We start from the raw sequence: 19,795 nt of genomic DNA, 5'->3' as shown, positions 1-19,795 counted from the left end.
GATTTCTTTTGTGTTATTGATGTCTTCAGCTATTTTAAATATATTTATATTATACTCTTTTTCAGATCGTTCTAGTAGCTCAAGTTTTAAGCATGTTAATCCTCCCATTGTTTTATGTCTGCTTGCTCTTGTTCATGGTGGATTACCTCCTTGAGTTTGACCATGAGCCATTTGCAGTGGGCTTTTTTGCCCTGTGGAAATTGTATGTGGCCTGGGTAAGGAAATAGCCCTACAGAGTGGTTTGGCATTTACATTTACTCAGCACCCAGGACCGTCATTGCTTTGGAACTAATTTTATGTTAATGTGTTGACTTAGGATGAATTTGCACTTGTTTTAAGGACTGTGGAAAGTGGCTGTGGTTTTGTGATAGACATTTGTGAGAGGCCTAGTTCATAGATGCTCACCCTTAGTCCACTGTATTGGAGTTGAGGTTAAATGAGCCCCCAGGGAGGTGCTGAGGGAATAATCGATTTTGGTTTGCTTAGAAACCAGGCTATTTTTTCAATCAGATATGTAGACCAGGTTTGAGAGATGAACCACTTAGAATAATAGAGGGCAGCCCTTAAGATTGTCAGGCCAGTGATGGAGAGAACGAAGTGCCTGGAACAGGAAAAGAATAGGGCAAGAATGGGGGTGTCTAATGATGAAATATCTGCTGGGTTCTGGTCATGGAACTCTTTCCCCCACCTTTTTATAAATCTCCAGTGAACTGGTCATTTCTCATAAATGTATGGACTCTGTGGGGCTGAATCCTGCTTCAGGTGGGCAGAGGATGAGGAAAGATCCGAGCCCCAGGCTCCTGCCATACACTTTCTCCCCCTTGGTCTAATGAGAGCTTGAGGCCAGCTCTGAAGCGAGTCAGGAGTTGCTGGCCATCTTCTCAGAGAGCAGTGTGGCCAGCCTGGCTGCACTGTCTTCTTTCCAGAGCCACAATCCCTGCCCTTTCTCGTCACGTGAAGACTGGGATAATGAAATCAGCAAGGGAGCCTGGGGCACTGTGGCCAGGCCGAGGGGAGGGCCTCCTGCCAGGCGCCACACATCGTGGCCTGCTCAGCCTGGCAAGTCAGCTCCCATGGCCTGGGCCCACATGCCAGTGGCATTTGCCTCACACTGAGCAGCCACAGGAGACTGGTTAAGACAACTTCACTCTGTTCCTTGTTAGGAATAATCAGTCAGTTTGGGTTCAGCTAACCATGACCCTCTCAGCTCAGAAGGAAACACTGTGCTGTTCCAGCCTTGACCTCAGTGCTCTAAGACAAAATCTTCTGATAGAGGAAAGAGGGGCTGTGAAAAGACCACAGCTTGCCTCTCAAGGCTGCAGGGGCGCACCATAGGCCAGAAGAGTGGGCTGTTTTGTAGTTCTTGTTCATTGGTGCAAATTCTATATGCAACAATAGGGCACAGCAGTCTCCCTCAGTCTGGCTGGGATAGAAGCAGATGCTGGAAGTGCTCAGAGCTGAGCTACCTTCGGGCATCTTCCTGGTGCCAGGGGGTGGGATGAGAAGGACTTTGGCCCAGGAACCTCATCCATGCGATCTAGCTGGGGCTGCACACGGTGCCAGTGCACCACGTGAGTGTGCTATGCTAATATGTGCAAATAAAAATATTTATAAAGTCTTACTTCATGGGAATAGCTTAAAATGTGACTCCTACTTCAAATGTATTCTTATGGAAATTTTAGTTTTGAATCATGCAAGGTCGTCAGGAACAAATGCATTTCATTAAATGTACCACTCTGAGTGGGGGTGTGAACCTGAATGGTCTACTGGAACCAGGCAGTCCTCAGTCTGAATCTGAGCTATGGGACTCCCAAGTGGGCTCGAGCCACCTCCTCCCTGCTCTGAGTTTCAGTTCATCCCTGAGTGTCTATTTTATAGCCCTCGTAGGGCTGCAGGGGCTGAGAAGGTGCCTGTTCAGAATTTAGCCTGGTGGCTGTCACATGCAGTAATCACTAAGTGGTGGCTTTTGTCCCCACGGTGGTAGGGACAATACATGATGTTGTGTAAACTAGTAGACTTTCTGGATCCCAAAGGAGAAAGCACCTTACTTCCTGTGAAGAATGTGACAGCTTATGGGCTGGATGGCCTGGGGACATCTGAAGGCAGCTTCTTTCTGGTCTACATCATAGGTCCTCTGCTCTGTTCTGGAGCAGGGCGCCTCCCTTGGCATGGTCCCTGCTGCATCCTCACATGTGAGTCCTTAGGATTTCTGTTGGTGGAAGCTTAGGTTGCTGTTGTGCTCTCTTCCCAGATTCTTGTGTTGGTGTGGCCTGGTATGATGGGTAGACATGCACCCCACCCCACTCCATATGGACTTTAACATTTGAATCCTAGCTCAGTCACTTACCTGCCAAGTCTTCTTAGGCAAGCTACCTCACCTTTCTGAACTTTAGTTTCCTTACCTATAAAATGGGAGCAAGAATACCTTGACTTTCAGTGTGTTCTGAGAGTAAAAGTAAAATGAAATAAGCCAGGTATGCTGTAATCCCATCACTTCTGGAGGCTGAGGCAGGAAGATTGCTTGAGGCCAAGAGTTCGAGACCAGACTGGGCAACACAGTGAGACCCCATCTCTACAAAAAAAAAAAAGTTAGCCGGGCATTATGGCACATGCTTGTAGTCCCAGCTACTTGGGAGGCTGGGGTGGGAGGATCACTTGAGCCCAGAAGTTTGAGGCTTTAATGAGTTATGATCATGCTACTCCACTCCAGCCTGGGCAGCAATCAAGGCTCTGTCACCAGGCTGGAGTGAAGTGGTGCGATCTCGGCTCACTGCAACCTCTGCCTCCCAGGCTCAAGCAATTCCCCTGCCTCATCCTCCCGAGTAGCTGGGACTACAGGTGCCCACCACCAGGCCCAGATGATTTTTTGTATTTTAGTAGCTACGGGGTTTCACCATGTTGGCCAGGTTGATCTCGAACTCCTGACCTTGTGATCCACCCACCTCGGCCTCCCAAAGTGCTGGGATTATAGGCATGAGCCACTGCGCCTGACCTGCTCAGCATATTTCTATTTGCCTGCCCTTGTTGTGGTATTTGAAATCTGCTACTCAGACCTATTACTTGTGTTGATTACTGATTCCTTCCTCTTGGAGTAAAGCTGCTCCAGAAACGAACATGGGAAAGGAAGAGTAGCAATGTGTTTTAGGAAAAAAAAGTTAAAGAAGGGCTAAACATTTTGGGAATCACAGAGACCTTTAACAACTAATTGCTAATTTTTAAAAGGCCATGAAGACATTTATGGATATTTAGATTTTCTAAATGTCAGTGGGGTCCGGAAATGTACCCTGGCGCCTTTAGAGAAAAAACGAGCTATCCAGCCAAAGCCTCTAAGACCACGTCTGGAAGGCGCGGAGAGGTTTTCCTCTATGGGAAACTGGCCAACGTGAGACCAGTCCTCCCAGGAGATAAGAGAAGGGGCTTCGGAAACCAGTGTCTGGTAGGACTAGGTGTAACCTGTGAATGATCCTTCAGCCAAGTCCAGAGGGAAGTCTGCCCACATGCAGACAATGGATGCCGCAGGCAGGAAGCTTCCTGGAGGTTAAGGAGGGGCAGGGGAGCACTGTATTTTTGGAGCAGACAAGAAAAAGAAAGGGAAGAGTCACTTTCCAGTCCTTTATTCATGAAGTTGCCATCCCCAACCTGGGCTTGCATATCCCAAGGGTGTCCCTGGGAAAGAAGGCGGTGGGAAGGCACAGGGCCGGGGAGCCTCGGGATCCTGAGTGAACTGGTGAGGACAGGGAGCTCAGCCTTTCCACAGTGAACACCCACCTATGGTGTGAGATGGGTGTGCTAGGAAGCCCTGGAGGAATGAGAGGGGCACCCGTGGTTTGGGCAGCCTGAGTTTGTTTGTGGGTAATTGTGTATAGGTGTGTATGTGAGGGAGGCGTGTCTATGAGTAGGAAGCTAAGTAGGTGAGGAGGTGTGTGGGTGCGGAGGGGAGGTAGGTGTATGTGGAGATGTGGGGGGCATGTGGGGATGGGAAGGACTTGGGTAGGAGGCAGAGGAGAGTAAAGTATGTGGATGTGTGAGTGGAGTTGTGGGGTGAGGGTTGGGGTGTATGTGAAGGGGAAGGTGTGAGGGAAGAGGTGGTGTGGGGGAAATGTGTGGAGGTGGGGTGGGGTGCCTGTGATGGGGAAGTGTGTGTGCATGTGTTGGGGGGGTGTGGAGGTGAGGAGGGGTCCATGTCGGGGGAAGTGTGTTCACATGTGTGGGGGGTATGGAGGTGGGGTGGGGTACATGTCGGGGGAAGTGTGTGGGGGTGTGGAGGTGGGGTGGGGTGCCTGTGAGGGGGAAGCGTGTGTTCATGTGTGGGGGGTATGGAGGTGGGGTGGGGTGCCTGTGAAGGGAAGCATGTGGGGTGGTAGGTGATTGGAGGGTGGGGATGGGCAGATGTGCAAGGAAGGAGGAGAAAGGGTGTATGTATTGGTGGAGGGCGGGGTGGAGCATCCTAGTGGGAGTTGCACAACCTGGCCAGTGGATCTATTTAACTCAAAAAGAAAGAGAAAATAAACAACAGAGAAAATCACAAAACACATGGGTGTTATTAATTTGACTGAGAGAAATAGAGCCCTGAACGGATGAGCAGAACAAAACTTAATGAGATTTGATGTGGAACATTTTTTAAATGCGTGGTGTAGGAAAGAATAGAAATAAACATGGAGAAATGATAGAAAACACTAGACTGCGGTAGAGAAGGCCCGGGAAGGAGCGAAGCTGGAAACTGGTGGGAGAGCTCTGCGCTCCATGGTGATGGTGTGACAGCCTCTCTGAGGGCCTGAGCCTGAGCCGTGACATAAAAGTAGCTGACTCTCTGTCAGGCTTTTCTATCATCTGTTTTTGTGGGCAAGGCACAACTCCCCTTGGCTTACCTGGAAACTGGACCCCTTGTTCTGCGTCTCTAGCACAGGCCTGGTGGAGACCTAAGTGTGGACCCTCAGGCATGCCTGATCATTTCCCTTGCTCAGGAATGAAGCTGAGTGACAGGTCTGCTTGGGGGGAGGGTCCAGGAGGCAAGCTGCAGCCTGCTCCGCTGAGAGTCGCTTCTCCAGGAAGGCTGGCAGACTGTGTCTTGGGCCCACCTGTAGCAGGAGGATGGCCTCCTTGGGAGTTAGTATCCAGGGTAAAAAGGAAAGCGGGCTTCTGTTCCAGTGGCTTTGGGCATCCTGGGAACAGTGTTGAGAATGAGGGAAAGCCCCACAGAAAAAGGGAAATGTGGTTCAAAGAAACCATTGATCCTCCCTGCAAGATGCCTTGAGGTCCCCAAGCATCCCCAAGGGAGACAGGGAGGAACTTTCTGCTCTTGCTGCCACACTTAGTAGAGCTGTAGAGCTGGGACACTGACTGTGTGCACAGGCATCTCCTGTGGCCCTGAAGCCTTGAAATGGGAACCACTGGGCCCAACTGGGCAGCGTGCTACCCACCAGGAGGTTGGAAACAACAAGGAGAGTTTCTTTCTTTCAGGAACAAAAGGACTTTTCAGGATTGAGAGCTTGGACTGGACACAGTCAGAGAGGATGTGAGCCTCAGAAATCTAAAAGAGGGAAACAGCAAAGAGAAGTTAGCGTGACAGAGGACTGACCCACAAACCAGGACCTAAGGGGGCTGGCTGGTGCTCTGGAATGTTCTGGAGAGCTCCTTCCTGGCCTCTTCTTGGCCTGGGGCTGCAGTGCGGAGAGGTGTGAGCAGGGGACTCCATACTCCCCTCTCATCGTCTTGTGCTGGTGACACCTGCTCTTGTCTGTCTCATACATTGTGCTTCTCCAGAAGCATTGGTTGCAGAAGATTTGGTGGCTGATGTGTTTGAACACCATGGGACTAGACCAGGGGTCAACAGACATTTTCTGTAAAGGGCCAGGTAGTAAATATGTCAGACTTGTATACCATAAGGTCTGTGCTGAAATTATTCAACTTTGCTGTAGTGGCACAAAAGTTCCCCTTCCCAATAGATAAGCAAGTGGGCGTGGCTGTGTCCCCATAAAACTTATTGATAGATACAGGCTGGGAACTGAACGCAGCCCACGGGTTGTGGTTTGCCAATCTCTGGACCAGACAGTTCTCTCTGCCAGGCCCACTACTGCCCTCAGGCATCTGGAGCTGAAGCTCAAGAATGGGGACTGTAAGGCTGCCTGAATGTGGACAGTCATGGTTTGTGGGAGCAGGCCCCTCCCTCTCTCCCATGTCACTCGTTTTCCTAGATTTCCCTGAATTCTCTCTTCCTATACTCCACTCCATCAGTCCCAGGTCAGTCTTCTGGAACCAAGCAGAACCAGCCCATCAGTCCACAGTGGTGGAAACAGCCATCACATAGCCCAGAGCCTTTGCTTCCTGAGCTGCTGGTCTTTACACAAAATAAGGCTTCCAGCCCTTTGGGGGCCCAGTGCGGTGCTGTCAGGGTGGTCTCCCTGAGAAGAAGACAGAGGGAGGCTCACATCTGAATCTGAGGGTCCTCCTCACAGGCTGGAATTGTGAACTTGCGGTCAAAACACCAGAGACTTGTCCCCATACATTGTGCCAAGCTGACTAGCTGAATTCCTTGAAGCTACGGTCAAGCTTCATATTTTCTCCCTGTAGGAATCATTCTCCTTGGTTGGGGTCCCTCCTTATAGCCGTGGGTCTAATTTTGAGTTATCAGCCGTTGGACTGTCCAATCCTCCCAGCTTCGTGTCATCCATGTCATTCACACATTTGTAAGCAGTTTCCTTCTTTCTCCAAAGTCCGTGACAAGCGTTGAGTGGCATGCGCTCAGAGCAGCTTCTTTCTGGGTGACGCTGGCCCACGGGCACCCGAGCCGGGCATGCTTTGAGCCAGTTTTCCCTGAGGACTCCCCAGCCATGTGTCCTCATCTTGTCTAGCAGGATGTCATGACAGGCTTTGTCAAAAGGCTTCTTCCAATCAAGTAACACCATGTTATGGCTTCCTGCTGGGTCAGGAGCCCCATTAACAAAGGAAATGAGGTTGGTTTGGCAAGACTGGCTTTTGATGAGCTCATGTTGGCTCCGCTAACGGTTTTTTTTTCCCCCTTTAAAGAGCTTCTCATCAGCTTACTGAATAAATCTGTGAACAATAAATTCTATCTCACACCCATCAGGGTGGGGGAGTACTAATTAAGCTCACATTTCTTTGCATGTTAAAATTAAATGGCTCTGAGCTGCATCCTGCTCCCTCAGGTATGTCTTCCTTCCCTTCATCCACTAAAGAACCAGCTCTGATGATGAGCCGAGCCAGGTGCTGGTGCCAGACCATGTGCTGGGCCAGGGTGTGGGGGTGTGGGCAGCGGAAGAGAAAGCCCCTGGCCAGCAATATAGCACCCTGCCTTGTTGGGCATGCACAGTGAGCCTACCGTCTTGTGCCCAGCTCATTCATAGCACAGCCTCCTCAATACAAGTAGGCATTTTCCCTAGGGCCCCCTCTAGTGCCAAGGTGGCAGTATGGGAAGGGACATCCAGCCTCAGCCTCAGAACTAGTCTTGGAAACCCAGTCTTGAGAGAGAAGCAGAGCAGTTCCTCCTTCCACTGCCCTGAGCTTCTTTTCCTCCACAGATGTGAACTTCTCCAAGCACACTCACTTGTCCTGTAACTGCTTTATTATAATCCATCCATTGCTGGTGACCAGCATTGATCTTACTGGTATCTAGTTTCTGGACCCAGTTTCCAAGTTCTTAAAGGCCTGGGCAACATTGCCTGTCTCCAAGCTTCTCCCATTTCCCTTATCTATTTGAGTTTCTCACAGTTACTCATCTCTTTGGATGAAAATCGATCTCATCGTATAATCACTATGTCCCAGGTTATAATATACTCATTATTTTTAATTCTCATAAGAATATTGTAAGACAGGTATTATATCTGTTTTGAAGACGAGGACACTGAGGTTCATTCCGAGAGGCCTCTGACTATCAAGCAGTAGAGCCAAGATTGGAACCTCATCTGTCTGGCTTCAAGGTGTGAATTTCTTCCATTGCCCCACAATGTGCCCCAGACTGTCAACGTCAACTCATTTTTTCCTCTGGGGCAGAAGACTATGTTCTCCTAGTTTTCCAAGATGAAACTGAGTGCATTTGCCCATAGGAATCATTTTATAAATGGAGGCTTAGTTTAGCTGGAATAGAACACATGTTATTACTGGGGCATTATGGATTAACTAGGCTTTGTGGACTACACTGGAAACCCAATCATTTCTGATTTGCAAACAACCCAATTTACAATCGACTTTGGGATCTCAGATCATGAGTGAGTTTGGGACAGTCTGTTCCAAGCCTGCCAGTGGGTGTTGCCAGAGTTTCAGGAGGAACTGTAGAGTAGCTGAATTTAGGAGATGAGGAAATAAGTCCTTCAGAGTGGAACATTCTGAATGAGGTTCCAGGAGTCGTGCTGATAGTTTAAGGGCTTGGCACCTTGGCCATGATTCCAGATAACTCTCTGGAAACACCCCTGCCTTTCTCTGTTGTTCTCTTATGGATTGCTTCTGAAGTTTGGGGCTTGCTAACCTCTTCCCCATTTGACCCTACTCACCCACACACTCCCAGATGACAGCCATGTCTCCTTCTGAGCAGGGAGGGGATGGGTGGCTCTTAAGAGCCATGACTTGAAGGAGCCCTCCTCTTTCCTGGCAGAAGTCTCTCTCTTTGCTTTACTAGAATGATGAGAATGACTAGTCAAAGGAAAGCCCCTCTTGCCATGGCCTTCTCTTGTTGCTTGGTCGTTCTAGGGTCCCCTCCCTACCCCAGCTCTAGACCTTGGTGCAAAGCCCTCTTACTATTTATTCCCTTGACAGCTGGAAGGCTGGCCTCAGCCTGGCCATCCCGAGGGGTGGGACGGAGCGCTGAAACATGTGGCTTTGAACACCGGCATGGCTAGACCTTGGCCTGCCCCAGATCTACCCCATCTCTGGAGGTTCCTTTCTAGGGAAGTAGACCTTCCTGACAGAGACTCCTACATTTCTAAAGCTGCTGAGGGTCCAGAATTTAGAAATGAAATTCTGCATATTTAAATGGTGGAGTGAGTCAGAGGGTTGACTCACATGCTGGTGGGGTGGGGCTGGGGGAGCTGGAGGAGGGAAGAGGTCCGGCCTGTTTCTAGTTAACATTTCACAGCCCTGTGAAAACTAGACTGGCAAAGCCAGCCCTCTGGTGTTCTATGGGAAAAAATGTGCTCTGATGAACTTGAGCCTTCCAGAAGGTTGCCTGGGGGAAGATGAGAAACAGACTGATACCTGGCTAAGAAATAGACGCCCCTCCCTCCTCCAGACCCCTCCAAGATAGGGGCAGGTGGCTGTGTTTGGGCAGGCAGTCTCTGGAGGTTGTGGTAGCAGGAAAAGGCAGGCATGTTCCTGACCTTACTACAGGATTTGACTTGGTGGAAAGGTCAGAGTTAGCAACCTCTAACCTGCCATGCTTCTATAAGTTACGTGGAGTAGCTGTGTTCCAGCCTTTACTAGAGTGCTTGCGAAGCAATGAGAGGTTGCTGTTTCTTCCTAATGTGTGCCCGAGTTCCTGAAAAGGCTGGAGCTTTTGCTCCAGGGAGGAGAGGTGTGGAGTGGTGCAAAGAGACTCAAGTCCCCCATTCTGTCTGCCAGAGGCTGTCCATTATCAATGTCGCTAGATCAGAGGCTGCCCACGGGGTTGGTGCTCATACAAGGTCTTTTTCTTCCCCTTCTTCCTGCCCCTTGAACTCCTATCCCTGTCCTCCTATTTTTTTTTCTTTTTTAAAATGTGTGTCCTCTTATTTTTATAAGGGAAGAGCTTAATGTTCTAAATTCTAGAAGACTTGGCTGAGCGCAGTGGCTCACGCCTATAATCCCAGCACTTTGGGAGGCCGAGGAGGGTGGATCGTCTGAGGTCAGGAGTTCGAGACCAGCCTGGCCAACATGGTGAAACACTGTCTGTACTAAAAATACAAAAATTTGCTGGGCGTGGTAGCATGTGCCTGTAATCTCAGCTACTTGGGAGGCTGAGGCAGGAGAATCGCTTAAACCCGGGAGGCAGATGTTTCAGTGAGCCAAGATCATGCTATTGCACTCCAGCCTGGGCGACAGAGCGAGACTCTGTCTCAAAAAATAAAATAAAATAAAATAAAAATAAATTCTAGAAGACTCTATTCTGACCAGAGTGAGCTAGCCAGGGCCGCCCACTGCCAAGGGTGTCTCAGGCTTGATTGTCTGGGAAGCCCACACTACATCTGTCTCTGACATAAACACCTGTCCCCGCATAAGGCCGGTTCTGTTAGTGGGCCACAGCTTCTCTGATAGCACTGACCTCGGGGTTGCATTTAACTGCTGTTCCCTTTTTTATATGTGTCAGAACTTGATCTGGGATGTGGGATGGGTTTGGGCCCTATTGAGTTGGCATAAGGAAGAAAGTTCTTTGGAAGATCTTGAATCAATTTGGAATGTAGAATAGGCCAAGAGGAACTCAGTAGACTTGGATGTAATTGGGGCCCATTGATTATTTTTAAATACATATTTTAATAAAGGCAGTTTCTGACATGTAATCCGACATTTTTAAAGTTAGTGGTAGCAGTTAAACAATCCCCAGAAAGTTTCACCTCCTGAACACTGCATGAGATGAACTTCATGAGGATTTTTGTGGCCGTGGTGCAGCAGGCAACATGCCGTATGAAGACTTAATAAGTCATTCAATGTTTTTACCATCTTTGATGACCATTAAATACCTTGCAAAAAATGATTTTGCTAGTCAAGTCAGCAACAATGTTCAAATAAATATGTATTAAATAAATTAATGAGAATCAGTAGAATCAAGAACTAGCATTCAAAAAACCCACACATTTTCTGGCCCTTTCTTTTCCCGGTGATGTTTCTCATGTCATGCCCCTGCTATCCTACAGCAGCCTGGCCTTGTGTGTCTACGCACACACCCTCTGGGCTATGCATTCACCATCCTCGCAGCCACTAAGCCCTGCCCCTCATACTATGCATTGACTGCTTCTTGATGGAATCAACTCCCCTCCTTACCCGTCTCAGTTGACAGGGCCTTGCACATTACTCCTAAGTCCTCTAGTGTGTTCATTGCACTGACCCCTCATGATTTTCACCCTTCTGGAGTTTTCCTTAGGATACAATCCAGGCCCCTTCCCATCATGCACAAGTCCTCCAGGGGCAGCCAGGCCTCACCCTGGAGGACTTGTGTTTGAGCGCCAGCCTCACTGACCTTTATTCATGTTGTGGAATGTACCACCCCCGCATCTGAGCCCTTCCACACTCTCTTTCTCTCCTCCTCACCTCCCCACTTCCCCACCCTTATCTTCTATCTATGCCTGTCGATTCTTCTCAGTTCAGAGGCCACTTTCTCCAGAAACCTTCTCCAGAATGTCCTCTCCTACAACACTGGGTCTGCTGCCTCTCTCATATGCTCCCTGGCACCCTGTCCCAGCTTCACATGTCCTGTGCAATATTTTTAAATTGTGGCAAAATATATATAACATAAATTTTACTGTTTAACCACTTTTAAGTGTATAGTTCAGTGGCATTAAGGTACGTTCACAATGCTGTGCAACCATCATCATCATCCACACCTGGAACTTTTTCATCTTCTCAAACTAAAATTCTGTATCTGTTAAACACTAACTCTTCATTCCCATCTCCCCCAGTCCCTGGCAACCACCATTCTACTTTCTGTTTCTGTGAATTTGACTTCTTAGATCCCTCATCTCAGTGAAATCACACAGCATTTGTCTTTCCGTGTCTGGCATATTTCACTTAGCATAATGTCCTCAAGGCTCATCTGTGCTGTAGCATGTGTCAGGATTCTCTTCCTTTTTACAGCTGTATAATATTCCATTGCATATACCACATTTTGTTTACCCATTCATCTGTTGATTAATATTTGGGCTGTTTCTAACTTTTGGCTATCAGGAAGATAGTGCTCTGAATATGGGGGTACAAATATCTCTTTAAGTCCTTGCTTTCAATTTTTGGGGGTATATACTCAGAAGTGGAATTGCCAGATCATATGATGATTCTATCTTTATTAGTATTTATTTATTTATTTATTTATTTATTTATTTATTTTTGAGACGGAGTCTCGCTCTGTCACCCAGGCTGGAGTGCAGTGGCGCCATCTTGGCTCACTGCAAGCTCCGCTTCCTGGGTTCACGCCATTCTCCTGCCTCAGCCTCCCGAGTAGCTGGGACTACAAGTGCGAGCCACCATGCCCACCTAATTTTTTGTATTTTTAGTGGAGACAGGGTTTCACCGTGTTAGCCAGGATGGTCTTGATCTCCTGACCTTGTGATCTGCCCGCCTCAGCCTCCCAAAGTGCTGGGATTACAGGTATGAGCCACCGCACCCGGCCCATTAGTATTTATTTTTTTTTGAGACAAGATCTCACTCTGTCGCCCAGGCAGTGGCAGGATCTTGGCTCACTGCAGTCTCTGCCTCCTGGGTTCAAGCCAACCTCTCACCTCAGCCTCCCAAGTAGCTAGGACTACAGGCACGTACCACCATGCCCAGCTAATTTTTTGTATTTTTAGTAGAGACAGGGTTTTGCCATGTTACCCAGGCTGGTCTCGAACTCCTGGGCTTAAGCAATCTGCCCCTCTTGGCCTCCCAAAATATTGGGATTACAGGTGCGCGCCGTCACGCCCAGTGTTGATGATTCTATTTTTCAGTTTTTGAGGAACCACCCTTCTTCTTCCCACATTGGCTACACCACTTTACATTCTCACCAGCGATGCATAGGGTTCTAATTGCTCCACACCCTTGCCAACACTCGTTTTCTGTTTTTTTTTTTTTTGGTAATAGCCATCCTGATGGGTATGAAGTGATATCTCATTGTAGTTTTGATTTGATAAAGCAATATTACGGTTGCTTTTTTGATGCTCTGGGTACCACAGTGGACCACAGGGTTTGTTAGGCACAGTACCTGTGCCTCTCAGTCATGCCCACATCTCCCACCCAAGCAGAGTGCCCACCCACAGCCACTATCAACCAAATAACTGAGCGACTGAAGAATGAATGTAACTGGGTCCAGGTCCTTTTCAGGACTCCGCGTTCTCCTTTTCCCCTGTGACGCAGGTATCACTCATACTGCTGCTGAGGGGCAGCTGCTCAGACCTAGGCATCTAGGCATGGTCCTTCAGTGGCTGAACTGGGAACAGAGGCTGATTCTTTGCATCTCTTTCCAGGTATTGTGATTTGCTTTAAACCGTGCTCCCACATAACTTAGACTTGGTCCTGCCACCCCACGGCCTATGAGACAACGTGCCACAGAGAGCCACTGTCACACCGAGGGGAATGGCTCAGCCAAGCACACTTGTGAATGACAACAACCTGAGGTTTTAGGGAACTCAGACTTTGTTTATTTCTCCATACACAGTGTACCCAAGATTTGTCTGAATCTTCAGAAATAAATACCCACTTGGAAATGTAGCAGCAGCCCTTTTATTTATGGATGCAAAGTATATGTCCTTCAGAAATGCATCCGTTTGGTCAAAGTTGGCACAGAGAAGTTAGCAGAGAAGTGTGCGTGTTGATTTCTTTGAGTGACTGCACAGCTGTGTTGAGTCAGTTAGCCATGCCAGGTCAGGTGGGTTTGTATAAATGTTTGAACACTTCCCAAGCTGAGCAGCTGGCTTAGCTCTCTTTCCCCTACATGCCTATTTGGTCCTGAGAAGAGCATGGGGCCATGTTACCTGTCCCTCACTCCCTCCAAAGACCAGCATAGCCTGTGCATATAAACTCTTACCCACCTGGGGCAACAGCCCCGGGTGTCCTGTCTGGCTGCTGCACTGGGGGAGTGACCAGTGAGCCTAACACTCTGCCCACCAGATCCACCAGCAGCCTCTCACCCTCTGCTGTGCTTGGTCCTTCCCTGGAGTCCTCTGAGAGCTTTCAAAGTCAAAATCACCAACATAGAGAGCCACGAATTCAGGGTCATAGGAATCTGGGTCCCAGGCTCCCAGTCCAGGCCTTCCAACATCTGTTAGCCTTGCCCACTCAGAGCCACCCTGACCTCACCCTGGGATCTGCAGGAGTCAGCCAGCGCCACACCCAGTTCTGGGTGTTGGAAATGGTCCATTTGATAGATTCCTGAGTGGGAGGGTGGGCCAGACAGCCCCTGTGGTCTTTCAGCAGGAGCATTTTACAATTCTGTGCTTCAGGACCCTTGCAGCATCACTGAGCTGCACCAGCCTTCTTTCAAGATGGCAGACACAGCCTCTAGACCTGGTGTGGGACTGGCAGGGTCTGACTTCTCATGCTTGGGCATCTTTTTGGAACCATAGTCTTCTACCTCTTTAATGACACAGAGAATCTTTCTATCTAGCCACCTTATGGCCTCTACGCCAAGGGAAACTAAGGCTCAGAGACATTTAGAAACTTGCTCAAGAATACATAGGGATAAAACCAATTTTTATCTTACCTAGGGATAAAGCCAATTTCTTAACTCCCTGTACTGTGTTTATTTCATCTTATTGTCCCAGATTCTAGCACACATCCCAGCAGCCAGCCCCTTTCCTGAGAGGAAGTAGGTGTAAGGTCCCAGCCACCTACAGAGGTCAGAGAGCTCATATGTCTGAAGGTGGCTAGGGATGGAGGAAATCTTCCCATGCCATGTTCTTCCATCCCTGAAAAATGTGTGTTCTGTCTTTTCAAGCTGCCATCAGACTTGATTTCAGTTTGGACTTTGAGTCAGACACATGCAGGTTCGGATCCCAGCTCTACCCCCAAACCAGCTACTTAGGTATGGTCTTATGTAGTCTCCTGCTCACAGTAACCCCTGTGAGCAGGAGACCACATACATCACAACCTTGGCACAGGGCCTGGCCCTGTCAGTACATGGGTGTTTGACATTTCTGGTGCTAGGACTTGGATCTCTACGGTAGAGCCTGTAAATCAGAGAGAGGCCCAACACTCCACGGGGGAGAGGTGGTGGTGGGCTCTGGTGGGACTTAGGCTCACCTAGCTCAGGGCAGCACAAGTGAGAATTAAACTGAATCCCATCAGTGTTAAGTGAGCAAGATCGGTGACGTCAGCGATGGGTTGTGGTTGGTGGGGATGGGCAGAGACTCAGCTCCACTGTTGCAGGCCTAGAGCCTAGAGCAGAAAGAAGGGCAATGGGAATGGGACAAAGAAGAAATGGGAGAGACGTTGTTAAGCTTTGGATATATTTATTTACAAAAACCTTGAATTTAAAAACTTTGTTGCTTTATTTCAAAAGTATTTCTTTTAACACAAAAGAAATGTGTTCATTCCAGACAAATTACAAAATAAATGAGGCAAATAAAAAAAGATCAGCACAATCTCATCACCCAGAGAGAGCCATCATCTTCCAGAGGTTTTCTCTGCATATTCAAGTAGTCCACAAACGTTTTATAAATTAGGGAACATATTCTTCTCCAAGCTACTAGTTACTATTTTTTTATTCTAACAAGCTGTTCCAGCTGTCTTTCTGTGTAAAAAAAAGGCTATATTTTCACCCCAATTCTAAAAGGTTGCATATTATATCACCATGTGGTCGGGCCACTCTATTTGAATTCTGCATTGAAAGGCAGGATAATGAACATGGAGTGGGAAGAGGGAGGTACAGAGGGACCCTGACTACAGTCCCTGGCTGCTTGCCAGGATGCTTCCTTCCACGGACACAACTATTGAAGGTCTAGATGACCCTGACCAAACAGACGCCTTGGCTTCCTTTCCTTTTCCTGGGACAGGCTTCCCTGACTGATGGGGGAGCTCCCATGACAGCAACTTTCTAATGTGTCCTGCATAGACACCACTGGAGAGGGCAGACAACAGTGGGGCCAGGCTGGACGAGGCGTGTGCGACTGGGGAGAGGGGAAAGGGCAATGAAGAGCACAGACCCCTCTCCCCAGCCCCACCATCCAGGGCAGCCCTGAGCCCAACAGCACCGGCAGAGTCCAGTGTGAGGAGCAGGGCTAGTCTACGGCGCTCGGTTTTCCTCTCTGTGGGACTTAGGCTCACCTAGCTCAGGGCAGCACAAGTGAGAATTAAACGGAATCCCATTAGTGTTAAGCGAGTGAGATTGGTGACGTCAGTGGTTTCCATTAGCCTGAATGAGACAGGGAAAGGGGATCTCATGGAAAGGAGCCCTCGAGAACCCCTAAGGCCTTGGAGAGCTGCCAATGCTGATTGCTTAGTGTGGGCCAAATTAAAAACAGAGGCATGGAAGCGGCAGCCCAGCCTGGCAAGGGCCACAGCCACAGGAACCATAGTGCCCACAGGCCTCACCCAGGGTGTCTGGGACCCTCACAGAAGGGCTTCGAGAAGCAGCCTCAGCTTCCCCATCTGTAATATGAGAGGCTGAACGAGAGGGTCTTAAAGCCCCTCCAGCATCAGAAGTTCTGGGAGCTTCCCCGGAACGGTAAGGATATTAAATGTCTTTGGCAGTAGGTCTTCCAGTGTGACTTGGAGCTGGGCTCACTAAGAAGCAAAGGCCCTGGGAGTCACAACCAGGGACTCAACCCACGTTGTAGGTGACACCAACCCGGTGCAACAGCATGACCTCTGTCCTGCTGAAGAGAACCCTGGGGGCCCAGAGCCCCAGGGCTGAGCACAGGGTGCTGGAGGCCGACGGGCCTGGGCTTTGACCCTGGACCCCCTCCCCCTTTTCCAGCTGGGTGCCCCTTTCCTCCACAGATGAAGGTACTGACTTCTCCGTGCTCAGCTCCCCACCAGTGCCCATGGAGGAGAAGGCATGGACACTCACGAGAGGAAGATTCCTCTCCACCTGAGAAATAGCAGCTCCTGGGGCCGGGGAGCCCACATTCCACCTCTCTTTCACACCTTTGTTTCTAGAGTCCCTCCTGCTGGCCAGACAGAAGGACGCGGTCCTCAGGAACCATGTCCCATTTGCTAGCACAGCCTCTGGCCAAAGTTGGTCCTTCCCCAAGGGGCCTGGGAGAAAGGCCGGGTTTGGAGGCCAGCCGGTGGAACCAGGAGACCAGGGTGGTGGAGACCAGCAAGCACTCTCGTTGCAGGGAACAACAGCCGCTTGCAGGCCGAGCTCTGCCAGAAGCATTGGCAGGACCTGCCTCCCAGTAAGTGCCACAGCACCACCCAGAACCCCCAGAAGGAGACCAGCAGCATGTGGGGCCTGATGGTGGTTGCCCAGCTGCTGGCTGGCATCGGGACAGTGCCTATTCAGCCATTTGGGATCTCCTATGTGGATGACTTCTCAGAGCCCAGCAACTCGCCCCTGTACATCTGTGAGTCACCGGCTTGAAGAGGGCTTTGGGGAGGGGTGAGGTCCTGATGTAGCACTTGATGAGGCCCTGGGGCACTAAACTGAGGTCCCACCCTCTTTGCTTACAACCCAGCAAATGAGTTCAGAGGCCTGGGGATCCGACAGACTTGGTTTGAATGTCAGCTCCATTACCTCCCAGCTGTGTGATCTGAGGCAAATGGCTGAACCCCAGGGCCCCAGGTTTCTCACCTCCAGGAGGAGGCTGATATTATCTGTGCGCTGGATGGCTGTGGGATACATGAGATGGCATATGTAACCACTTAGCTGGTGTTGGGCACTGGATGGACCCTAAACCAACAGCACCTACTGTTGCTCTCTGACTAGTCCTTCAGGCACAGGCCAGGACACACATATCTTCTCTGAGACATCCACTTAGGAGCAGGTTGGCCTCAAAGAAGCCCATGCAAAGCAGATAGCAGATGACCACGTGAATGCCCAAATCCTTCCCTTCGAACAAGCCACTTTGGGACGGGCGTGGTGGCTCATGCCTGTAATCCCAGCACTTTGGGAGGCCAAGGCAGGCGGATCACCTGAGGCCGGGAGTTCGAGACCAGCCTGATCAACATGGAGAAACCCCGTCTCTATTAAAAATAAAAAATTAGCTGGGCATGGTGGCGCATACCTGTGGTCCCAGCTACTTGGGATGCTGAGGCAGGAGAATCACTCGAACCCAGGAGGCAGAGGTTGCAGTGAGCCAAGATTGCACCATTGCTCTCCAGCATGGGCAACAAGAGTGAAACTCCATCTAAAAAAAAAAAAAAAAAAAAAAAAAAAGAACACACCACTTTGAGCATCCTCAGGGCCTATACTCCAGACCACACAGACCACCCCCACAGGCTCTGTGGCACCATGAGCTCCTCCGAGGGCCCCCAGCATCGTACCCACAGGGAGCATCACCTGGCATTTTTAAATGCCTTGGAGCCTGTTTCCTTCCTGGCAAGCAGGTCTCTTTGGAAGTTGGCTGGAGGAAGAAATAGCCTTGGTTCTATATGTCTTGGAATCTTGAGTGGTTCTGGCCTTGCTGGTGGGAGATGCCACAGGTGTGGGCTTATCAGGCTTGGGAACAGATGAAGTGATATCTCAAGACTCCCCCTCAGCTTGGGAGCCCAAGGCTGCCAAACTCTCTCCATTTATCTCAGTCTCCTTCCCCTTACTTCCTTTTCCAGCCATCTTATTTGCCATCTCTGTATTTGGACCGGCTTTCGGGTACCTGCTGGGCTCTGTCATGCTGCAGATCTTTGTGGACTATGGCAGGGTCAACACAGGTGAGTATGTGCAGAGGACACCCATTCCCATCCCCAGCTCAATAAAGCAGCCCCCAGCCCCCTCATCCAATCAGAACAGAGAATGAAGCTTCAGCTCCAGATGCGCTCTGCCACCTCCTCACTCGCTCACTCATCCCTGCAGTCCCTCGGAGAGCCAGGAGCAGACAGTGTGTGCCTCCTCTCTCAGGGCCCACGCTGGCCACTGTGAGGAACAAGCTGCTGAAGCAAACTCACTTTCTGCCCTTAAGAAGTTTGGAGACCCAGGGCAGGACCTCAGGTGTTGCCACCACAGCGCCCATCTTGGTGGCATTAAAAATATTTCTATGGGCTGGGTGCGGTGGCTCAAGCCTGTAATCCCAGCACTTTGGGAGGCTGAGGCGGGTGGATCACGAGGTCAGGAGATCAAGACCACCCTGGCTAACACGGTGAAACCCCGTCTCTACTAAAAATACAAAAAAATTAGCCGGGCGTGGTGGCAGATGCCTGTAGTCCCAGCTACTTAGGAGGCTGAGGCAGAAGAATGGCGTGAACCTGGGAGGCAGAGCTTGCAGTGAGCCGAGATCATGCCACTGCACTCCAGCCTGGGCGACAGAGTGAGACTCTGTCTGAAAGAAAAAAAAAAAATTCTATGGTTCTTTGATTCTAAGATGTTGCTGGTTCTTTAAGATTTAATAAGAGCTCTTTTGAGGAAAAAAAAGAAACATCATATAAAATATACACACGGATGATGACTCACATCCAGAGGGTATAACATGGTGTTTGACTGTGTGGGCGCTGGGACGGGACTGCCTGGGTCTCATCCTGGCTCCATCTCTTACTAGCCAAGTGATCTTAGGCAAGTAACTTTGTCTTTCTGTGCCTCAGCTTCCTCATCTGTAAAATGGAGCTAATGATAGTAAAATAAAGTTGTTTTAAAGATCAGAACAAGCCTAATGTATATTAAGAAGTCAACAGTATGAGTTCGTATTCTTCAACAAGTGGTATGGATGAGAATATATAGTCCCTAGACACCAGCATAAGTTCTGAGTTAACCATTCAGGGAGCCAGCCCCAGGATGAATGGAGCAAGGGCTTCCTGCCTTTGAGAGTGTGTCCCACACTACCCAGTCTCCCACAAGATGGGGAAGGTCAGCACCACAACAGAGGGACAGGCAAAGTGCTGTAGGGTGGAGAATGTGGGGAGTGTGTGGGTGGGATACGAAGTTCCAGCTCGGCTGAAGGGGTGGCTGAAAGGCAGGACTGAGCCAGACTCCAGGAAGAGCACTCCCACCACTGCCCTGCAAACAAGTCACGTCACAGATATCTGGCAGGTGCTA

The 19,795-nt window shown here is 49.6% G+C and overlaps 1 protein-coding gene across 1 annotated transcript in view, besides 2 other annotated features; it reads left to right on the top strand.

The window, feature by feature from the left end:
• The window catches only part of SLCO2A1 (solute carrier organic anion transporter family member 2A1), a 97,225-nt gene that overhangs the window by 57,783 nt on the left and 19,647 nt on the right, over positions 1-19,795 (top strand). Inside the window, exons 4-5 of the mRNA NM_005630.3 lie at positions 16,950-17,177; positions 18,382-18,480. Of these exons, the coding sequence (NP_005621.2) occupies positions 16,950-17,177; positions 18,382-18,480 (327 nt within the window). The remainder of the gene's footprint in view (positions 1-16,949; positions 17,178-18,381; positions 18,481-19,795) is intronic.
• Positions 15,459-15,988: an enhancer, noted in NCBI's record as "H3K4me1 hESC enhancer chr3:133674999-133675528 (GRCh37/hg19 assembly coordinates)". NCBI's record gives its function as "activates a minimal SCP1, AML or CMV promoter by ChIP-STARR-seq in naive H9 embryonic stem cells {active_cell/tissue: H9 hESC(naive)}" and the evidence as "EXISTENCE:reporter gene assay evidence [ECO:0000049][PMID:30033119]".
• Positions 15,989-16,520: an enhancer, noted in NCBI's record as "H3K4me1 hESC enhancer chr3:133674467-133674998 (GRCh37/hg19 assembly coordinates)". NCBI's record gives its function as "activates a minimal SCP1, AML or CMV promoter by ChIP-STARR-seq in naive H9 embryonic stem cells {active_cell/tissue: H9 hESC(naive)}" and the evidence as "EXISTENCE:reporter gene assay evidence [ECO:0000049][PMID:30033119]".

Source organism: Homo sapiens, chromosome 3 (assembly GCF_000001405.40).
Source record: "Homo sapiens chromosome 3, GRCh38.p14 Primary Assembly".
In the NCBI taxonomy this organism is placed as follows: domain Eukaryota; kingdom Metazoa; phylum Chordata; class Mammalia; order Primates; family Hominidae; genus Homo; species Homo sapiens.
The sequence above is the reverse complement of the archived record's forward strand: the minus strand, read 5'-3'. Positions and strand labels throughout refer to the sequence as shown.